The 20,652-nt window shown below is 45.0% G+C and overlaps 1 protein-coding gene across 3 annotated transcripts in view; it reads left to right on the forward strand.

Annotated features, from left to right (window-relative positions):
• KIAA2012 overlaps positions 1-20,652 on the forward strand; it is a 131,934-nt gene that overhangs the window by 45,935 nt on the left and 65,347 nt on the right. For 2 of the 3 annotated variants that reach the window (NM_001277372.4, NM_001367720.2), the window contains exons 12-13: positions 6,025-6,093; positions 19,243-19,319. In NM_001277372.4, the coding sequence (NP_001264301.2) occupies positions 6,025-6,093; positions 19,243-19,319 (146 nt within the window). Of the gene's footprint in view, positions 1-6,024; positions 6,094-11,403; positions 11,945-19,242; positions 19,320-20,652 lie in introns of those variants that run through there. The other variant, XM_017003112.3, reaches the window with a different exon arrangement.

The raw sequence follows: 20,652 nt of genomic DNA on the forward strand, positions 1-20,652 counted from the left end.
TGAACCTGGGAGGCAGAGATTGCAGTGAGCCAAGATAGTGCCATTGCACTCCAGCCTGGGCAACAGAGCGAGACTCCGTCTCAGGAAAAAAAAAAAAGAATAATAGCTTGCTTTGAATCCACTAGCTATTCATTTTTTGAAGAAAAAATCAATACAAAGTACTGAAGAATGTATTATTTCTTTTTTTTAAGATGATGGTACTTATGTCATTTTTTACAGAACCTGTGAAGTTATGAATTCTACCTCCCTTGCATTTGTTCTGTTTCAGAGAACCCTAGAGTCAAGAGGGAACTTAGGCATCACCGTCATCAGTATTTAAGCAAAAGAAGCATTTAATCAGACTTTCTGAGGATACCAGTAAATAAAACAGATAAAAGCAGAACTATCTGGTTGAAGTGGAGATGGTCTAATTATGTCCCTCCCAACTTCTCTGAACCCAACTAACTCTTCCCCTCCTAAGATGGTTCTAGGAGTGGGGGTGGGGGACTATGCAGGGCCACTAGAGCTATGTGACAATTAGAAAACCTGCTGGGCCAGGCACGGTGGCTCATGCCTATAATCCCAGCACTTTGGGAGGCTGAGGCAGGAGGATCATTTGAGCCCAGGAGTTCGAGACCAACCTGAGTGATATCTTTTGGCTGTGTCCCCACCCAAATTTCATCTTGAATTGTAACTCCCACAATTCCCACATGTCATGGGAGGAACCCGGTGGGAGGTGATTGAATTATGGGGGCAGCTCTTTCCTGTGCTGTTCTCCTGATAGTGAATGAGTCTCAAGAGATCTCATGGTTTTAAAAAGGGGAGTTTCCCTGCACAAGCTCTCTTTGCCTGCTGCTATCCATGTAAGATGTGACTTACTCCTCCTTGCCTTTTGCCATGATTGTGAGGCCTCCTCAGCCACATGAAACTGTGAGTCCAATTAAACCTCTTTCTTTTGTAAATTGCCTAGTTCCAGTTATGTCTTTATCAGCAGCATGAAAACAGACTAATACACTGTGCAACATAGTGCGATCCCGTCTCTGCAAAAACTTTTAAAAATTAGCTGGGCCTGGTGTGCACACCTGTGGTCCCACCTACTCCAGGGGCTGAGGTGGGAGTATTGCTTGAGCCTGGGAAGTCAAGGCTGCAGTGAGCCATGATTGCACCACTGCACACCAGCCTAGGTAATAGAGTGAGACCTTGTCTCAAAAAGAGAAAAGAAAACCTCTGATTTTATGGATAAGGAAACTGATGCCCAAAGAGGTATGATTTGCTCAAAGCCACACAGCTTTTATATGGCAAATCCAAGGCTCAAACCCAGATCTTCCTTCATCCAGTGAGGCCAGAGCTTTTCCCACTGCATCACACAGCTTCTAGTCCCTCTTATCCAGGTTTCCAAGCTTCAAGGACCTCAAAGTTCCCTCTCTACTGTGATGCTTTACCTGACCACCTCTGCCACAACGATTGCTATTTCCTTACGTTCCACTCATTCTTACCACCTGGGTCTCTTACCAAGCACTCCCTCACATCTTTTATCCTTTGTACTATTTTTCTTCTTTCCCCTCCTAGATTTAAAATTCCTGTGAGTAGATCCCCCTCATCTACCTCTGAATATCACAGAGAACACATTTGGTACTCCCAGAGTATTTCTCATAATATTTACTGAATATTATGAATATTGACTGAATAATATTTATAAAAGGAATAATGGAAGAATGTGTTCAGCTAAATTCTAATAATAGAATCCCCCACCCTGGATTTTAGCTGAACACATGGCTGCCTACCCAGAGATTATGCTTCCCAGACTCACTTGCAGCTAGGTATGGCCATGTGACCAAGATTTGACCAATGGGATGTGAGTGGAAGTAACACATGCAACTTCCAGGTCATTTCCTTAAAAGGAAACTGTTTGCCCTTCCCCTCCTCGTTCTCCTTGGACTTGGTCGTGGTAATAGCTTCAACCATGTGGAAGAGAACAATTCCATATGGGATGATGGAGTACTAAGATATTAGGAACCAGGGTGCTCAGGTAACTTTACGGAGCAGAGCCACCCTGATCGGCCTGCCTGCCTACCTCTGGACTTGTATGTGCAAGAGAAATAAATGTTTATCTTTTTGCGTCTCTTGTTTTACATCAGCTTACCTTGTGCCTTAACAGAATGCAACTATAATATCTGCCAACATACTTCACATTACTTTGTGAAAATCAAATCAGATCACACTTGCACTCCATCTTGTAAAGTATTAAGTAAAATTCCAATATGAAATATGGTTGAACCTCAAAGAAGGCCCATTACATGTGTGTTTGACTCCTTCGATACAATATACTGAATACCTCCCATATGCAAGGGACATGGAAGGATGTTAATATTGAGAGCAAACACTCTCAGGCACCTTGCTATGCATGTCATCTTGTTCCCTTATCCCAACGATCCTAGGAAGTGAGTATTTTCAATCACATATCATAGGTAAGGAGACTGAAACACAGGGAGCTCACTTACGTGGTAAGGGCAGAGCTGGGCTTCATTCCCAGGCCTGTCTGTCCTCACTCCACATACCAAAGCTCCACCCCAGGCACTGCAGTCACTGCCCTCAAGGACCTCAGAGTCGACGTGGAGAACAGATTCACAAGCCAGTAACTGTACCACAAGGCAGAATGAAATGAGTGCCATCACAGAGGCCTAAGAGCACAATCCAGGGGTATTCCAGGAAGGAGCCATTAATTCTAGCCTAGGAGGTTGGGAAGGGCTTTTTACAGAGGAAGTTCCATTTACACTGACCTTTGAGAAACGAGAAGTAGATAGACAGAGAAGGGGAGGGCCAGCCAGCCGAGACACCAGAATGAACAAAAAGAGGAACGTAGAGAACACGTGGATAATGAGGAGCAGCGTGGTGTGAGTGGACTGTGGAGGGGCTTCATGCTGGGGGTGAGGAGGAGCTGGGCCTGAAAGGCAGACCAGGGCCAGACCAGGGAAAGCCTTGTATGCCAGGAGAGAGCCAAAATGCTGCTGTTTAGGCAACAAGGAATCACAGATGTTTGAGGAGGGATGTCATGCAACCCAACACGTGAGCTAGCATGAAGGAACAGACAAGAGAAAAGGCAGAGGGCTCAGGCTACTGCAAAATCAGCCAGACAACACTGGGTGAGGGCCCTGGTGCAAGGCAGTGAGCAGCCATGCCTAAAAGGCATGCTCCCTAGGGCCACTGACTGGACGTGAGCATCTCAACCAGCACTCTGAGATCTGGGTCGCCCATGACAAGACTGTTTGCAGATCCTCTTTATAAAATTGGCTACAATGCTCATCTCCAATCTTCTACTCAAATCCGCTCTTTTTTTTTTTTTTTTTTGGAGACTGAGTTTCATTCTTGTTGCCCAGGCTGGAGTGCAGTGGCACGATCTCGGCTCACTGCAGCTTCCGCTTCTCGGGTTCAAGAGATTCTCCTGTCTCAGCCTCCCAAGTAGCTGGGACTACAGGTGGTGCACCACCACGCCTGGCTAAATTTGTTGTATTTTTAGTAGAGATGGGGTTTCACTGTGTTGGTCAGGCTGGTCTCAAACTCCTGACCTCAGGTGATCCACCTGCCTCGGCCTCCCAAAGTGCTGGGATTACAGGCGTGAGCCACAGCGCCCAGCCCAAATTATCTTTATTCTGTTTTTACTTTCAGTTAAGAAGGTTGTTTCGGAAAGGGGGGCATGTGTGTCTCCTGTATTGTAATTAAGCGAAAACAACAACTAAGGCCTGGAGCCCACATTGTCCCCACAGCAGCACCCACAGGGCCACCGCTCTGGCAGCCTCCCTCAAGCCAAGTCAAAAGTCCCACCAGCACACAGAAAAAAATAGATCCCCATGCCATGTGCCTCTCAGCTTGTCAGCAGTGCAGTGTGGCTGTTTTCTGGCTCCTGGGCTGTAGGGGAAATGGTTGAGCTTCCTAGCAGGCAGCTGTGGTAAATAATGAGTTCTAAGGAAAACCCTGAGAGCAAACTTCTTGGGAGCTACGAGGCAAAGGGCAGGGCGGTGGCGGTGACAGACGGTGTTCGTGTAGCCCTCCTCCGCCCTCTCGCCTGACACACAGAGCTTTCTCTTTCGTGACTGTTTTTTAGCCTCCTTTTCCCTTTCAACCACCCACCACTCAATTCTTTGAGGGAAAATTAACATTCATTATGCAATTTATCTCTCTCCGTTTAATCCAGAGTGTCTGTCTCCAAGGTCCCTACTCAATAATTAATGTTTGTTCTCATTTCCCATTCTCCAGAGCATCTATTCTTGAACCGTAGGGTCAACAATTAACACTAATTACGGCTTTTCCTCTCTCCAGTGTTGATGCTCAGAATCCCAGGCCGCCTGCTCAGCCTCAGCTATCGGTGCGCACGTGACCGTGTGTGTGCCCTGAGATGCAGGAGCACCGAGAGGCAGGCTTTGTCAAGCCCCACCGCAGTTTAGCAAATCAGTAAAACCCAAACATTCTTTCTTGGCATCCTCTCTAGTCTATTTGTTATTGGTAATGAGACGATGAAGCAAAAAATAAATAAATAAAATTATTTGGAGATGAGTTTGGTGGCTAGGCAGACTAGAAGATTTCTAAGTCTTTTCCGGTTTGAATTTTCTAGGATTCCTTTTTTTCTTCTCTGTTGCTCTCTCCCCGATATCTCACACCTCCCTCTCCCTTCTCTCTCTCTCCGCTTCTCTCTCTCTCTCATACAAACACACCAAATTTCCCTTTAAAAAACCTTTCTTCCTGCTGGGCATGGTGGCTCACACCTGTTATCCCAGCACTTTGGGAGGCAGAAGCAGGTGGATCAGCTGAGGTCAGGAGGTCGAGACCAGCCTGGCCAACATGGTGAAACCCTGTTTCTACTAAAAATACAAAAAAAATTAGCCGGGTGTTGGTGGCAGGCACCTGTAGTCCCAGCTACTTGGGAGGCTGAGGTAGGAGAATTGCTTGAACCCAGGTGGTGGAGGTTGCAGCCAGCCAAGATTGTGCCATTGCACTCCAGCCTGGTGACAGAGCGAAACTCTATCTCAAAAAATAAAAATAAAAAACCCTTCATATAGGACCCACTCAATTGACCTCTTTGCTATTACCTCTCCCTTAACTTTCACAAGTCTCATTCTAATTCTCATCAGTCATTAAGACAGCATTGTTTTAACTAATTTTCATTTTGACTGACAAGGGTAGCTAGGAAAATAATTCTCACCCCAGGTGACTAGCAGATCACAAAAAAAAAATTCATCAGGGGCTGTGAAAAAGCCTGTCTGTCTTTTTGGCTAGAATCAGATGGACTAGAATCCCTCCTGGCTCCCCTGGTCCAACACTCTGTTTGTGCTACAACTGGAGAGGGGGGCTTTTTGTGCGTGTCTGTCATCCCCCATGGCTGCACACACTGAGACACAGCTGCTGTTCAAATCTGGGCATCTTGCAGCATGTGTCAAACGTTAACTGTTTCATGATCTTATTTTGTCAAAAGTTCTTCTTACAGAATTTTATCATCATGGACCCTACAGAATTTTACCTTTAAACATCTTAGATAAAAACATTATTTTCCTCAATGCTTTTTTAATCCTAGATCAACCTTCTCTCCAGAATATCATCTGTGGATTTTCAAAAACATCCAATTCAAGGCCGGTGCGGTGGCTCACGCCTGTAATCCCAGCACTTTGGGAGGCTGAGGTGGGCAGATCACTTGAGGTCGGGAGTCGAGACCAGCTTGGCCAACATGACGAAACCCCATCTCTACTAAAAATCCAAAAAATTAGCCAGGCGTGGTGGCACATGCCCGTAATGCCAGCTAGCCAGGTGGTTGAGGCAGAAGAATTGCTTGAACCCTGTAGGCAGAGGTTGCAGTGAGCCGAGATCGTGCCACTGCACTATAGCGTGGGCAGCAGAAAGAGACTCCATCTCAAAAATTTAAAAAAAAGAAACAGTTCATTGCAAAGCTTAAACACTGAGGCAATCACTTCATGTTTTCCCCTGTCTTCGGATAAGGGAATAAATTTTTACAAGACTTTTTCCCGCTCTCAGGTAAAATATCTTACTGTTTTTCAGCCTATGAATCTGTCAATTCAAATATCAGCCATGAAGAGGAAGGGCCTAGTAGTCAGCATTTCCTAAAAGGTAAGCTTTTCCACTAAAAAGTCACCTCGACTTCTCTATGTAATTTGACTCATGATCATATTATTTCATATATAGACCTCCAGAAACCCACAATTTCTCCCCAAATATACCAATAAGTAGCAGAGAGGATTTGCTTCTTGGAAAGCCTGAGAAATGTGTTGTTCTGTTGAGTTACTCATGGACAGCCCCGTGGTCTGAGTGTAAATATTAGTGAGGAAGAGACGTCGGGTGGAACCAAGTGCTTGGGCTTAGCTGGCCTGGGGAAGGATAATTTGCAGGGATGTCCTGTGGGTCCTGCAGGTAATCCACTGCACAATTCCCTAAATAATGAGGTAGACATTGTCCCCTGGAGTCGTGCATCCCTCAGCCTGCACACACCACAAGCTAGGAGCCGATCTGGGAAAGACTCAGGCTTGTATTTTCAATGGAAGACTGAGGCCAGGTCTGCCTCTCCTCAGATTCCTTTTCTATTTCATTTCCCCCATGGAGAGATCTGCAAAAACTGGGAGTATAGGTTGACTTTGTAGCTCATCCTCCACCCACAGACATGGCTGCTGCTGCTTCAGACCAAGGGAAGGATGATGACCTGGAGACTTTCTCTCCTAAAAATAGTCTTTGATTAACAGAGAAATGTGAGTGGTGTTCCTGGCTGCTTTTTTTTTTTTTTTTTTTTTTTTTTTTTTTTTTTTGAGATGGAGTTTCGCTCTTGTCGCCCAGGCTGGAGTGCAATGGCAAGGTCTTGACTCACTGCAACCTCTGACTCCCGGGTTCAAGCAATTCTCCTGCCTCAGCCTCCTGAGTAGGCGGGATTACAGGCGCCTGCCACCAAGCCTGGCCAATTTTTGTATTTTTAGTAGAGACGGGGCTTCACCATATTGGCCAGGCTGGTCTCGAACTCCTGACCTCGTAATCTGCCCACCTCAGCCTCCCAAAGTACTGGGATTACAGGCATGAGCCACCACTCCTGGCCTCCTGGCTGCTTCTTTTGGGGCTGGGCAGCAATGAATCCTGCATGAAGAAGCTGCTGTAGGAACAGGCGGGAGGCAGTGCCACAGATCAAGGGCTATAGGCAAATCAGGGTGGAAGGATTGTTTTTGCCAGAGATTGCAAAACTAAGAGAAAAGTCACAACTGTATCCTTGCCAATCTCAAAATCTGTAAGCAGAGAAATATCTGGGAGTCTGGCCCTCTGCATTCCCCCTTGCCATCTTCCTTGGGCAGACATCCTGACGAAGGTAGAAAGAGTTTCCATGCCATTTTTGTTCATTCTCATGCATTGGTTAGAACTGGGCCAGAGCAGCTCTTAAATAGGAGCCCTCAGTAAAAATGATGATGATGGTGGTGGTGGTGGTGGTGGTGGTGGTGGTGGTGGTGGTGACAGCTACTGTTGTTATATATTCCTGATATGCCAAACATCATGCTGAGTGCTTTGCATTCATTATTTCATTTCATCCCTACAGTAGTGATAGGAGATAAATCCTATTATTATCTTCATTTTTCATCTAGGACAATGTGGCTCAAGAGAGGTTAAGTGACTTGCCCAAGGTCACACAAAGTAGTAAAGTTAGGATTTGAACCCAAGGAACCTGTATTTTTATGACTAAGCATGGTTCATAGTAGCATTGGTCTAAAGAGGGGCAATTCCATCTGACAATATATGAGAGTTTAGGAAGTCCTTGACTTAGTAATGACATATGCAAACAAATGGCTTCTGTCCAACCTCCGTTTCCCCCTCCAATTCCCCCTACTCAGCATCAGACACCCTTTTGTGGGTAACACTAAAAAGGATTTGCAACTTCTAGAGATATCATAGGGAGAAGAGGAGAAGCTGGAAAAAAAAAAGTAACAGTTTGGGAGAATCAAAGTCCTGAAACAAATTTTCAAGCAAGATAAGCCTGTTTACCGGCTAGCTCTGCAAACCAAAATATTCTTTCTAATAGCACCTAAAATGTTACCATTTCCCTTCATTCTACTATTAAAATCTCACCAATAAAAAACTAACCTTGGATTAAGAAGTATCCTCTTAAGATTCTGAAACTTCAGAGAGGTGAATAGTCTGTCACACTTTAGTAAAAGTGTATTTAATCAGATAGTTGCTCTCTTGCAACCTAGCTAGAAACAGCTGCTCTGAGGGACTAAAAATTCTGATGGGGTGGAAACAAAGGTGAGTAATTTGGAAGTATATAGAGCTTAAGGGTTGAAATATGCCTGGCCCATGGAGTGCCCCAGGGGGCTCAGATGAACAGCAGAACATCAGCTGCATGGAGAAGGGGACACTAGAAGGAGAAAAGTACAGAAGGGGCCATGACAGTGCCCCAAAGGCTAACTTAGCCTATTACAGGAGGCCTCGCAGAAAGCTGTAGATCCAGGAAATGGAGAGAACGTTTTGATCCTTCTCGCCTCTATTCCTAGTAACTAAAAGACCTTGGACTAATGCAAATCTCTTTCCTATTTCCAGGCTTTAGAATGTACTGTTCCCTCTGCCTGGAGCACAGTTCCTCATCTCCTATCCAACATTTTTTAATTGCGGTAAAATACAGATAACATAAAATTTGTCATCTGAACCATTTTTAGTGTGCAGTCCAGTGGCGTTAAGTACATTCACATTATTGTGCAAACAGTCTCCAGAACTCTTTTCATCTTGCAAAACTGAAACTTTATACCCATTAAACAACTCCCCCTCCTCCCTCCCCTAGCCCCTGGCAACCACCATTCTACTTTCTGTTATCCCCTGACTTTTACCCCTTGTCCTAGTTAACTCCTGCTAATCCTTCACTTCCCAATTTAGGCCTCAAACTGACCTCCCCACAAAGGTTTTTCCACTTTCCCCTCACCCTCCTTCCCTTCCCCCTCCCTGCCGATGGGGTGACACTCACCACCAACATGTGCACAATGAACCATGCTTACCCAGTTACAGCCACAGCAGCTCACTCACTGCATTGTCCACTGACTAGACTTTTCTCTCCATGAAACTGCAAGCTTTTTTTCTTTTCTTTTCTTTTGAGACAGGGTCTCCCTCTGTTGCCCAGACTGGAGTGCAGTGGCTGGATCTCAGCTCACTGCAGCCTTGACTTCCTGGGCTCAAGCGATCCTCCCATCTCAACCTCCTGAGTAGCTGGGACTACAGGTGCTTGCCATCATGCCTGTCTTTTTGGGGGTTTTTTTTTTTTGGTAGAGATGGGGTTTCACCATGTTGCCCAGACTGGTCTCCAACTTCTGGGCTCAAGCCATCTTCTCACCTTGGCATCTCAAAGTGCTGGGATTACAGGCGTGAGGCACCACACTCAGTCACTAGACTGCAATCTTTTTAAGGGCAGGGGCCCACCAGCAACCCTATTACCTGGTAATATGCTGCTAACACATACCTACTGTCAGTGCAGCATAAGCATTTGATGATTGAAAAGGTTTAGCTACAACATGGGTGAAACAGGCCTTTTTTTTTTTTTTTTCAGGTTGACTTGGAAACTTAATCACTATGCAGAACAGCCTCCACAGGAAAATGCATTCCACATATAAGCATAGGGTGCCTCTTTCACAACTTAGAACCTTATTTGTTCCCTTGATTTGCCCAATGACCTTAACAAAAACATTTTTACATCACTTTGTGCTTAATATTCCCCATTTGTTGCTAAGGGAATAGATATAACACTACTTTGAAAGTATCTGGGCCAGGCGCAATGGCTCACACCTGTCTGTAATCCCAGCTATTCAGGAGGCTGAGGCAGGAGAATTGCTTCTCCTGCCAGCGGCAGGGTCGCGGTGGCAGAGGTTGCGGTAAGCCAAGATCGCACCATTGCACTCTAGCCTGGGCAGCAAGAGCAAAACTCCATCTCAAAAAAATAAATAAATAAAAAAATAAAATACCTGATACCCCCTGGAACTGAGTTCAAAGACCAATTTAAAACATCTATTCGTTGGAACACCTATAGAAGTTTCACAATTTTTTTTTTTTTTTTGAGACAGAGTCTCACTCTATTGCCCAGGCTGGAGTGCAGTGGCACAATCTTGGCTCACTGCAACCTTCATCTCCCAGGTTCAAGTGATTCTCATGCCTCAGGCTCTCTACTAGGTGGGATTACGGGCACCCGCCACCGCACCCGGCTAATTTTTGTAATTTTAGTAGAGATAGGGTCTCACCATGTTGGCCAGGCTGGTCTCGAACTCCTGACCTCAGGTGATCCACCCGCCTCGGCCTCCTAAAGTGCTGGGATTACAGGCATGAGCCACCACGCCTGGCCTAGAGCTTTCACAATTTTTTGTGTTCTTTTTGGTCATTTGGTTTTAATTACTATTTTCAGATAAAAGTGATAGGATTCTGAAAGGATTGTGTAGATGGTAGTCTTTGGGTATTTGTGGACATGAAGGTTGATTTCAGCTATTTGAAATGACCTCAGAAGTCAGGGGAGTGGCACGGTGTGGTGGCTCATGGCTGTAATCTCAGCACTTTGGGAGGCCAAGGTTGGAGAATTACTTGAGGCTAGGATTCAAGACCACCCCGGCCAACATAGCAAGACCCTGTCTCTAAAAATATTTAAAAAATAAATAAATAAAACATCAGGGACACACACAATTTGTCATTTTACAGAGGCATGAAGTCAAATCATTGATATTGCAAGGCTGGGAGACAGAGACTATTACTGAGCTAGTGAGTGAGCCTAGCCAGCCTCGCAGCACTCACACGTCTCATATTGTGGTCTATAATTCATTATAACATCTGCAATAGCTCTTGTGCAGTTACTTTTCAAACAGAAGAACATTGATTTCTTTACATATACATAGATACATACACATGCATTTTTAATGGCCCTAAAAAAAAGCTGACTGCTGGGACTCGTGATGGAAGTAAGAGAAAGTGAAGTGGTCTAACAATGTGATGGTTCTCTGCCAAAAAAATAGTTTAATAAATCACTCTAAGCCTTTATTTATAGTCTCATTAAGAGTCCAAAGAACTCTCTCTCTTTTTCCAATTCTTTTTTAGTTTTATCACCAATAGATACACACTAGGAGTATTCACAAATCTAAGGATTCTTAAAATTCTCAGGATGTGTCCTTCCCAAGTAGCCAGGATCTGCTGTTCATTTAGTGCATGATATGCATTAAGGGATCAGGACCTTGCCCAAGTAGTGAAGTAATACTTAGCACAATGCATTTTAAAGCAGGTGTAGATCTTAGGATTTTGTGTGTGAGTTATATTTCTCAACCTATATTAAAGTTTAGAATATTAAATTTTCTTCTGTCAGAGTGATCAAAAATTATAACTTTCATTAACTAGTAATTCTTAAATAGTATTTTCTATTTAATCACCCTTCAGACATTTATGTTGTCTTCTCATCACAACTATAAAGAAGCTTAAGGCCAGTCGCAGTGACTCACACCTGTAATCCCAACACTTTGGGAGGCCAAGGCAGGAGGATCACTTGAGGTCAGGAGTTCGAGACCAGGTTGGCTAACATGGTGAAACCCCATCTCTACCAAAAATACAAAAATTAGCCAGGCACAGTGGCAGGCACCTGTAGTCCCAGCTACTCTGGGGGCTCAGGCAGGAGAATCACTTGAACCCAGGAGGCAGAGGTTGCAGTGAGCCAAGATTGTGCCACTGCACTCCAGCCTGGCAACAGAGCGAGACTCCATCTCAAAAATAAATAAATAAATAAATAAAATAAAAAACAAAGAAAGAAGTATGAGTCTTTTCTTAAGGATGTTTCCCGCCTAGTTTCTCTCCCTTGCTCCTTTCATACATCTCTCTGTGGCCTGAGGATTTTGCTATTGTCTTGGTTTCCCCATAATCCCTCCTTTGAAAATTAATGTAGACATCAGAATCAGACTGTGTTCAACAGAAAGAATCTGTGAGTATGTTTTTTTGTTTGTTTGTTTTGAGATGGAGTCTGGCTCTTGTTGTCCAGGCTGAAGTGCAATGGCACAATCTCCGCTCACTGCAACCTCTGTCTCCCGGGTTCAAGCCATTCTCCTGCCTCAGCCTCCCAAGTAGCTGGGATTACAGGCGCACGCCACCACACCTGGCTAATTTTTTGTATTTTTAGTACAGATGAGGTTTCACCATGTTGGCCAGGCTGGTCTCAAACTCCTGAGCTCAGGTGATCCACCTGCCTCAGCCTCCCAAAGTGCTGGGATTACAGGCGTGAGCCACTGGGCCCAGTCTGTGAGTATGTTTTACAAAGCAGAAAGATATTGCTCATTCATTTATTCAACAAACACTAATTGTCCATCTACTAGTGACAAATACTATGGTAGGCACAAAAATACAGTTGAGAGACCACGTCCATGCCTTAAAGTAGTCCACAGGGGTGGAATGTGTTGAGAGCTATGAACGAGTTCAGACTGACTCAGCCTGGAGGTTGAGAAGGCTTTTGGAAGGAGAGGACACTTAAGCAGAGTTTCTAAGAATGTATGTAGGAACTAGCCGAGTGGTAAAGAAAGGATGCTCTAGGAGAAAGGACAATATAAAGGTGAGAGAGCATGGCAGCATGGAGAAACTGAAGCAACTTGTAATGACTGCACCCCAGGGTACATGCAGGGGAAGGAGTGATGAAAAATGCACCTTGCAAAGGAGGCAGGAGCCAGATCATAAAGGGCCATAGAAAGCAGCTAAGAGGCCTGGTGCGGTGGCTCATGCCTGTAATCCTGGCACTTTGGGAGGCCGAGGCAGGCAGATCACCTGAGGTCGGGAGTTCAAGACCAGCCTGACCAGAGATGGAGAAACCCCATCTCTGCTAAAAATACAAAATTAGCAAGGCGTGATGGTGCATGCCTGTAATCTCAGCTACTCGGGAGGCTGAGGCAGGAGAATCGCTTGAACCCAGGAGGCAGAGTTTGTGGTGAGCCGAGATCATGCCATTGCACTCCAGCCTGGGCAACAAGGGCAAAACTCCATCTCAAAAAATTTTTAAAAATGAAAGCAGCTAAGGAATTTACGCCAATGATGGTGGGACTCTGCTTACACAGGAATTGACATCACCAGATTTTTATTTTATAGAAATGACTCCCAGCTATGTAGAGACTGGATTGGAAGAGATAAGACTAGGGACTGGGACCCCAGATATCTTTATTTGTTTGAGAAGAAGTGACCAAAAATAATATTTTCTGGCCAGTTGTGGTAGCTCACACCTGTAATCCCAGCACTTTGGGAGGCCGAGGCAGGCAGATCACCTGAGGTCAGGAGTTTAAGACCAGCCTGGCCAACATGGCAAAACCCCGTCTCTACTGAAAATACAAAAATTAGCCAGGCATGGTGGCACACACCTGTAATCCCAGCTACGCGGGAGGGGTACATTGAAGCAGGGAAAATTGCTTGAACCCAGGAGGTAGAGGTCGTAGTGAGCCAAGGTTGTGCCACTGCACTCCAGGCTGGGCGGCAGAGCAAGACTCCTCACAAAATACATATATATATATGTATGTATATATATATGTATATATGTATATATATATAGTATATATGTATATATATAGTATATATGTATATATATACATATATACATATATATATGCGTATATATATATATATTTTTTTTTTCAGGCCAGGCACAGTGGCTCAAGCCTGTAATCCCAGCACTTTGGGAGGCAGAGGTGGGTGGATCACGAGGTCAGGAGATCGAGACCATCCTGGCTAAGACGGTGAAACCCCGTCTCTACTAAAAATACAAAAAAAAAAAAAAATTAGCCAGGTGAGGTGGCAGGTGCCTGTAGTCCCAGCTACTCAGGAGGCTGAGGTGGAAGAATGGCGTGAACCTAGGAGGTGGAGCTTGCAGTGAGCCAAGATCGTGCCACTGCACTCCAGCCTGGGCGACAGTGTGAGACTGTCTAAAAAAAAATATATATATATATATATATATTTTTTTTTTTTCTGGAGAATGGAGACCACCACGTGAATGACATTTGCTGGCTGTTTTGTATGCAGTTCCACCTTCAGCCTTTTTTCTGAATTACTTTCCTCCACACAGTCTTCCACCATAGATATCCTTATTAATCCTGTGATGTTTCTTGATTGGAGGGTTTCTCGCGTGGTTGACATTTTGCTGTTATGCATCTCGAATTTAAATTCAGTCCTCTAGCTAGGCTTTCATTCTGGGCTTGGTAAACTGCCATGTGCCTTTAGACCTTTCCATAAAAAATAATTTATGAACTTTTGAGAGAGATTGGTATTCCCAAAGCTAAAGCTAGACCCTTGAGACTTAGCTAGGCTTAATCTAAAAAGATATAAGTAAAAGGACTGTTATCCCAAATTGGAAGAAAAATATTGCCCTTGCATTTACTGGGTACTTCCATATTTAAATTCAGACTGACTCATATTTTCTAGATCTGTCTACTTGACTCCCTAGTTAGAGCTCCCAGGGGGATGTCTTTTGCCTGGAGACTTATTCAGGCCTCCAGCAACTATTCCCTACGCCCATCTCACCCTCCTCCTCATTCAGGAAGATTTAAAGTGAAAATGTGTAGCATAAACAGGATCTTAAATCTCGTCCCAAGAATTTGATAATGACAATACCAAAAGGCCATCTTGGGTCTTAGTCTCCTGCATTAAACAAGCAGACTCAAAATTTATTATAATACTACAAACACTCTGTAGGTCATAGGTGTCTTGAGTCACATCATATAAAATAAAGTATTTTTAGATATTCTTAAGGAAAGGTCAGAAGGACCAAAATTATCCTTCCTTTTATGGTTAAGTTTATACTGGGGAGAATTTTTTTTTTTTAATAATCTGGAATTTGCATTTGCATTTTCCATTTATGACCAAAAAAACACAAAACCATGAAGTGACTGAGGCTGACTTTCAGGCCTTCTCCCATTGGTTCCTGCTGGGGCCAGCAAGTCCCTGTGCAAAGCTATGAGAAGGCAAAGATGCTTTCTGAGACCTGTTTGGCAATGGATATATCCCCTCCATGGTGATGAAACATTGCAAGTTATGGGGTATGTTCCATGACAGCATGTTAGCCATCAAAGGGTGTGCATGCCTCAGAAATGATATACATAGACAAAGGCCCTGAACGGATTTAAAGAAGCTCCTGCCAGCACCTCCAACAGCTACTGCCCTTGTAACCACTGGATATTTGGCCACTTTGGACCCTACGGGTGTGATATTCTTTCCCAAACCCTGACATGTATCTAGGAAGGAGCCAGGTGGCCCGCCTGGCCTAATAAGGTGACTCTTTGGAGCTGATCTCTATTTTGACACCAGATGGGGCCCAAAAGAGGGTCCCATACCAAGGCAAATATGCATCCTGAAACAATGGGAATAAATATGACTATGTTTCTTTCTTTCTTTCTTTTTTGAGACAGAGTTTCGCTCTTGTTGCCCAGGCTGGAGTGCAATGGCACGATCTTAGCTCACTGCAACCTCCGCCTCCTGGGTTCAAGTGATTCTCTTGCCTCGGCCTCCCAAGTAGCTGGGATTACAGGCGCCCGCTACCACATCTGGCTAATTTTTGTATTTTTAGTAGAGACAGGGTTTCACCATGTTGGCCAGGCTAGTCTCAAACTCCTGACCTCAAGTGATCCGCCCGCCTTGGCCTCCCAAAGTGCTGGGATTACAGGCGTGAGCCACCACGCCCTGCCGACTATGTTTCATTTTTATTGAAAACAACAAACAATGACCTGGGAATTAAACATAGCCAATGCAGATTTAAATAGAAGGAAATGTTAAGGAGCCATATTCCCTGCTAGAATCAGATGCCCTTTCCTGCTTTTCAAGTTTTGAGTGTTTGGTGAAGGAGTCCATGATTTGAAGAAGGCAGAAGAGGCTTGGGATGAGAACCCCATCTAGTAAGGGTCATCTCTAAAACTGCCTGATTATCTGGTGGGAATGCTATCTCCTCACTAAAAGCCTGTGGTTAGATTAATGCTAGCATTTGAAAATCTGCTAAGGCCTGATGGTGGGCAGCCAAGGAAGGAATGTGTTTTCTGTTTATCTCTTTAGTGGCAGAAATGTTCATCACAGAAAGACTGTGAACTCCCAGTTTCAGGCATGCCTGGAAGTTGTGCAGCCTATAGTCTGTATAACCTGTATACACTGTAAAAACTGGAATGTGCACACCAGTTTCTGAATGACAAAAAAGAACCAGGCCTTTGTTTGCAGCCAGTTACCTGGGTTGGTCGATGGGTTAATCAGTTTCTTTGACTTGATAACAGTTTCTTTGACTTGATCTTGCCGCATCGTTCTGAAAGGAGGTTTTACCACCCCCACTGTTCTGTCTACCAGGAATGCAGTTTGAGTTGTGTCTCCTCCTTGACAGCTTGGACCTCAGTAAATTACCAAGGTCTTGACCCAAGAGATGGAGAAGTCCTAAGTGATTTTTCAGTCTCCTATCTAAAAATGTGTTTACATTTCTTGAACTCTGGCTGACTGATTCATTCTCCTGGTGTTGCAAGAACTTTCCTTATGCATTAGAATTCATAAGTTTCATTTCTAAGAGGCCCATGGTTCCTTCCAAGCCACAGTGTAGTGAACCTCATCACAACACAATTCTGCTGGGCTGGATTTGTCCCAAGTGTGGATCATGGCCAAAGCAGCTGTGATGTGGCAAGCTCATTGAAGCTAACGGGAGGCAGTGTGATGTGGAGGGGAAAGTGCAAGACACTAAGTCAGGACATCTGGGTTCTGGGTCCTGGTCTTGTGTTATTTCAAGGTGTGCCCTTGAGCCAATTGAATGAAAATGCTTTCAGGGCCTCAGTTTCCCCCAAGCTGATTCAAATTTAAAAAAAAAAAAAATTTTTTTTGAAACAGAGTCTCACTCTGTTGTGTCCGGAAATGGTGGGTTCTTGGTCTCGCTGACTTCAAGAATGAAGCCGCAGACCTTCGTGGTGAGTGTTACAGTTCTTAAAGGTGGTGTGTCCAGAGTTTATTCCTTCTGGTGGGTTCGTGGTCTCGCTGACTTCAGGAGTGAAGCTGCAGACCTTCATGGTGAGTGTTACAGGTCTTAAAGGCAGCACGTCTGGAGTTGTTCGTTCTTTCCGGTGGGTTCGTGGTCTTACTGGCCTCAAGAGTGAAGCTGCAGACCTTCGCGGTGAGTGTTACAGTTTGTAAAGGTGGCGCATCCGGAGTTGTTCATTCCTCCTGTCTGGCGTTGTTCGTCCTTACAGAGAGCTGATTGGTCCGTTTTGACAGACTGCTGATTGGTGCGTTTACAATCCTTTAGCTAGACACAGATTGCTGATGGGCGCATTTACAATCCTTTAGCTAGACAGAAAAGTTCTCCAAGGCCCCACCCCACCCAGAAGCCCAGTAGGCTTCACCTCTCAATAGCACTCGCTGCGGGACTTTGCGGCACCTAGCCCAGGCACTCCGGCAGCCCAGAGGGAGCTCATCCCCCGATCAAGCCCAGCAGGCGTCGGCCGCGACAGGCCCAGTCCGCGCCCACCCGGAACCCGCGCCGGCCGACGAGCGAGCTGCTGCACGCAGCCCCGGCTCCTGCCTGCGCCTCTCCCTCCACACCTCCCGGCGAGCAGAGGCTCAGGCCTCGACCAGCCCCAGAGAAGGGCCCCACAGCGCAGCGGCGGGCTGAAGGGCTCCTCCAGCACGCCAGAGCGGACGCGGAGGCCAACGAGGCGCCGAGAGTAAGCAAGGGCTGCTAGCACGTTGTCACCTCTCACTGTCACCTAGGCTGGAGTGCAGTGGTAAATCTCGGCTCACTGCAACCTCCACCTCCCGGGTTCAGGTGATTCTTGTGCCTCAGCCTCCTGAGTAGCTGGGATTACAGGCACGCGCCACCACTCTGCTAAGAAATGTTTTAAATCTGTGCAAAAGCCATTTTCAAAGAGAAGAAGATAGCTGAGAAACAACAGAAAAGGGAAGGTCAGCCCACAAAGAATGAGTAGAGGCTTAAGTTCAAAAAGACAAAGATACAGAGTCATATATGGCCATTGGCTCCTAAAAGAGCTACTTATGAGTATCAAGTATGGAAAGAACTTTTTGTTGGACATTCGTCCCACAGAAGAAACTAAACCCTTCGTCAGTAGAGCCATGTGCTTAGCTAAATCTATTCCTCAAATAAACATTCCTTTAGAACATTAAAGTTACTTTTTTTTTTTTTTTTTTTGAGATGGAGTCTCACTCTGTCACCCAGGCTGGAGTGCAGTGGCGTGATCTCAGCTCACTGCAACCTCTGCCTCCCAGGTTCAAGTGATTCTCCTGCCTCAGCCTCCGGAGTAGCTGCGACTACAGGCGCGCACCACCACGCCCGGCTAATTTTTGTATTTTTAGTAGAGATGGGGTTTCACCTTGTTGGCCAGACTGGTCTCGAACTCCTGGCCTCAAGCACTCCACCCACCTCGGCCTCCCAAAGTGCTGGGATTACAAGCATGAGCCACCGCACCTGACCAAATTTACTTTCTTAAGGGAAAAAAAAGAAAAGCAAAATAAAACCTATCCTTTTGCGCCATGGAGTTTTAGGGTCGGGCAGTCTTGGAGGGAAATCCTTACTCAAAACCTCACTAGTGGTACAACTTTGAGTGGGTTACTATACCTTTTGCACCTCAGCTGCCACACCTATAGAGAACATTGACAATGACAACATGGAGGGGAGTCATGGCCATCACACGACAGCCCCATGCTGGTGTCCGGGTGGTGCCTTCTTCCCGGCTGGCTCCGCGGTTTCCATGGTTTCTGTTAGTCCCCTCCCTCCATCCCCACTTTGGCGTTTGCCTTTGTTTGATTCATGTTTCCACCCTTCCTCTTGCCCCTCCACATTATGAGGAAAAAGGGAAGCCTCTGATCTCTCTATTTGGAAGTTTGCAGAAGCCTTTTCCTACTTCAGTGAAGTGCAGTCATACAAAATTTATACTCAACAGCATCAGCAGATTTTTTTCCATCAATATTTCCTTTTTAATTTCAGCTTTATCTGAATTTTAATAGCATAAAGAATTTACTTTTGTTCTTTTAAAGAGCAACCAAAACAAGAATAATATATGTTTGAATATAAGGTCTTAACACTATGTTTAACATGGTGTTTAGGCTATGCCTATAGAGGTTACAGGTGTTTTTTGGTGAGTAAATTATGAATGCCATGGGTGTATATGTGCTTATAATCTTACATACATATGAACTAGGTGTGTGTGTGTGTATGGTATATATAAAAAGTCATGAGATCCAGATCTGACCACCTTGATCTTTTTTCCTCTTTGATTTTCACTACAGCAAACACTGAACCTAGAGCCAATCTTCACATGAACCTTTATGAAACCTCACCGTTGACCCAAACAACAGAGAAGCAGGTATAGTATTGACTCTGAATGAGGATGACACTAGGAGTCACAACTCTTGGGTTCTTGTTTCAGCTTGCTGTGTGCCCCTCAGTGAGACTCTTTACCTCTCTGGGCCTCATTTGCCTAATCAGTAAAATGAGACAAGTAGACTATGAAATCACAGAGGTTCCTTTACTCTTAGACTTGGAATGTCTTAACTTGGACTGTATTATTTGGCTCTTTACTTGTGTGAATAAGCTCAAGGTCTTTCCCTGACTTCTGCAAAGTCAGAAAGGGAATAAGGGAACACAGAAAGGTGGCATCCAGTGAGGCAGTAGGCACTAGTTTTCATTCGTAAAATTAGTAATTCGTAATTAGAGATAAACATTAGCAATTAAGAAAAACAAAGTGCAAAGGTAATCATGAAGAAAGGAGGATGGTGCTTCATCTAGATACATTAAGAATTTCTATTAGCGGGCCAGTCACAGTGGCTCATGCCTGCAATCCCAGCACTTTGCGAGGCTGAGGCAGGCAGATCACCTGAGGTCAGGAGTTCGAGACCAGCCTGGCCAACGTGGTGAAACCAACCCCGTGTCTACTAAAAATACAAAAATTAGCCGGGTGTGGTGGCATGCACCTGTGGTCCCAGCTACTTGGGAGGCTGAGGCAGGAAAATCGCTTGAACCTGGGAGTTGGAGGTTGCAGTGAGCTGAGATCATGCTGCAGCCAGAATCCAGAGTGAGACCCTGTCTCAGGAAAAAAAAAAAAAAAAAAGAATATCTATTAGTGGTTCAAGGACATATGTTCACAAATATTTATAAGTTTGTTCCTTCCTTGGAAGCTTTGAAGCTGGAACTGTCTCCAAATTCTCTCTAGAGAGACAACTCAGGGGAATTCCTAGAACTGAATCCAGGGCCTCGGAGAACCTGAGGCAGAGGCAGCACATGCAGCTCCAGGGGACTCCCAGGTCTCATCCTACTGTGTGACACCTCCAGGCCATGATCTTGACTTCTCCATTCTGTCCACCTTCCTTCCTGCCACAGCCTAGCTATCTCTTCTTCCCCAGCACTCATTATACATAATGATAAAGAAACGGGTTTGCTTTCATCTGCGTGCCTGAGCTGGGCTCTGAGGTAGGACCTGAACTCTCTGTGACAACCCTAGGCCTGGGTCAGGCCTCCACTGAGGTGAAACGCAGCTGAGCGGCTCCTCCCTGCTGCCAAGGAGCTGCAGAACCAACATTTGCATATTTTAAATGCCCACTTTGCAGACATCCCATTTACGGGATCTAGAGACAGAGTTTTTGAAAGAGTGTGTGACTAAGGAAAACATAATATGGTGTATTTTGATAATTCTGCAACCC

Source organism: Homo sapiens, chromosome 2 (assembly GCF_000001405.40).
Source record: "Homo sapiens chromosome 2, GRCh38.p14 Primary Assembly".
Lineage (NCBI taxonomy): Eukaryota > Metazoa > Chordata > Mammalia > Primates > Hominidae > Homo > Homo sapiens.